The sequence below is a fragment of the Homo sapiens genome, chromosome 16, assembly GCF_000001405.40.
Source record: "Homo sapiens chromosome 16, GRCh38.p14 Primary Assembly".
Lineage (NCBI taxonomy): Eukaryota > Metazoa > Chordata > Mammalia > Primates > Hominidae > Homo > Homo sapiens.
The window spans coordinates 75,832,517-75,835,360 of record NC_000016.10 but is presented as its reverse complement, the minus strand read 5'-3'; the positions used below and the strand labels follow the sequence as shown (position 1 = coordinate 75,835,360).

The 2,844-nt window shown below is 38.4% G+C and overlaps 1 long non-coding RNA gene across 2 annotated transcripts in view; it reads right to left on the bottom strand.

The window, feature by feature from the left end:
• Nucleotides 1–2,844, bottom strand: part of LOC105371348 (uncharacterized) — a 154,623-nt gene that overhangs the window by 79,312 nt on the left and 72,467 nt on the right. The gene's annotated exons all lie outside the window — the stretch shown is intronic.

Here is a 2,844-nt window from a genome sequence, read left to right as displayed (position 1 = left end):
CCACGTTTGTGGTCACTTGTTACAGCAGCCACCAGAAACAAATGCAGATTTTGGTACCAGGAAGCAGTGTGCTGCAGTATCAAATACCTAAAAATGTGAAAGTGGCTTTGGAATTTGGTGATGGACAGAGCCTGGAAGCATTTTTGAGGCACATGATAGATAGGTTGCTTTAAACAGACTATTAGTAGAAATATTCTATATTTCTATATTTCTATAAAATATATTTCTATATTTCTACTAATTAGTAGCAATATTAGTAGAAAAATAGTAGAAATATTAAAGGCACAACGGGTGAAAACTCAGAAAGAAGTGAGAAGCACAGTAGAGAGATCCTCTGTCATCTTAGAGCAGGGGTCCCCCACCTCCAGGCTGCAGACCGGTACCAGCCAGTGGCCTGTTAGGAATCAGGGCACATAGCGGGAGGTAAGCAGCGGGTGAGCCAGCATTACTCCCTGAGCTCTGCCTCCTGTCACATCAGCGTCAGCATTAGATTCTCACAGGAGCGCAAACCATATTGTGAACTGTGCATGCAAGGGATCTAGGTCGTGTGCTCCTTCTGAGGATCTAAATAATGCCTGGTAATCTGAGGTGGAACAGTTTCATCCCAAAACAATCCACAACCCCTATTCCATGGGAAAAAAACTGTCTTCTATAAAACCAGTCCCTGGTGTCAAAAAGGTTGGAGACCACTGTCTTGGAGAATGCGTATATTGCCAGAAACAGAAGATTAGTAGAAATATGAACAGTAAAGATGCTGCTCAGAGGGCTCAGAAGAATATGAGAAAAGTGTTATTAGAAATTAGAAGAAAAGTGATCTTTGTTATATAGTGACAGGGAGCTTCACTGAATTGTGACCTACCATTGTGTGGAAAGCAGAACTAAAAGTGGTAAACTTGGGTATTCAACTCAGGAGATTTCTAAGTGAAGTATTGAAGATGCAGGCTGGTTTCTTCTTGCTGCTTACACTAAGACGCTAGAAGAAAGAGAGAAATGAAGAAAGAATCATTAAGCAAAAAGAGCCAGGACTAGATGATTTGAGAAATTCTCAGCCTATCCAACCGCAAAAGATGCTAAAATTAGCAGATCACTGCTAATAATGTGTGCTCTGGAGAGAAGGCCCCAGGTAAGGCCAGAAAACCTTCTCTCCACTGAAGATAAAACTGATAATATTTTATGATTGATTGTATATAGTTTGGGAGAGAGAAGAGGACAAGCTCAAGGTTTGGGGTTGGAATAATTGAAAGGAAAGAGCTGACATTTCCTGAGATAGGTTTACAGGGTAAAAAAAAAAAAAAAAACACATAGGAGTTCATTTTTTATCATGAAAAGATTGGTATTTCTATTTTTTTAAAGTGGAGAGTTTGTCAAAACCACAATGGGATACCACCTCACACCAGTCAGAGTGGCTATTACTAAAAAGTCAAAAAATAATAATAATAACAGATGCTAGCGAGGTTGCAAAGAAAAAGAAAGGCTTATGCACTGTTGGAGGGAGTATAAATTAGTTCAACCATTGTGGAAAACAGTGTGATGATTCCTCAAAGCCATAAAAACAGAAATATCATTTAACCCAGCAACCTCATTACTGGGTATATGCCCAAAGCAATATAAATCATTCTATTATAAAGACACATGCACGCATATGTTCATTGCAGCACTATTCACAATAGGAAAGACATGGAATCAACCTAAATGCCCAGAAATGGTAGACTAGATAAAGAAAATGTGGTACATATACACCATGGAATACTACACAGCCATGAAAAAGAACAAGATCACTTCCTTTGCAGGAACATGGATGGCACTGGAGGCCATTATCCTTAGCAAATTAACACAGGGACAGAAACCCAAATACAGCATGTTCTCACTTATAAGTGGGAGCTAAAAGTTGAGAACACATGGAAACATAGAGGGGAACAACACACACTGACGCCTATCAGAGGGTGGAGGTTGGTTGGAGGAAGAGAATCAGGAAAAATAACTAATAGGTACTAGGCTTAATATGTGGGTGATGAAATAGTCTGCACAACAAAACTGCATGACACAGGTCTACCTATGTAACAAACCACCTGTACATGTACCCCTGAACCTAAAATAAAAGATAAATAAAAATAAAGTCACAGTTTCTAAGATAAATAATAATAAATAAAAAGTGTCCTTTAACTCCCCCAAAAGATTATACCAGCTCACCAGCAACGGATTCAAACCAAGCAAAATCACTGAACTGTCAGAAAAAGAATTCAGAAGGTCGATTATTAAGCTAATCAAGGAGGTACCAGAGAAAGATGAAGTCCAACTTAAAAAAGTCAAAACTGTAATACAGGATATGAAAGGTAAGTTCTTCAGTGAAATGGATGCATAAATAAAAAACAATCACAACTTTTGGAAATCAAGGACACACTTAGAGAAATGCCAAACACACTGGAAAATCTCAGCAATAGAATCAAACAAGCAGAGGAAAGAACTTCATAGCTTAAAGACAAGACTTTTGAATTAACCCAATCTATCGAACACAAAGAAAAAAAGAATTTTAAAAAATGAACAAAGCCTCCAAGAAGCTTGGGGCTATGTTAAACGTCCAAACCTAAGAATAATTGGTGTCCCCAAGGAAGAAGAGAAATCTAAAAGTGTGGAAAACATATTTGAGGGAATAATCGAGGAAAACTTTCCTGACCTTGTTAGAGACCTAGACATCCAAATACAAGAGGCTCAAAGAACACCTGGGAAATTCATCACAAAAAGATCATTGCCTAGACACATAGCCATCAGGTTACCTAAAGTCAAGACAAAGGAAAGGATCTGAAGAGCTGTGAGGCAAAAGCAAGAGGTAACCTATAAAGGAAA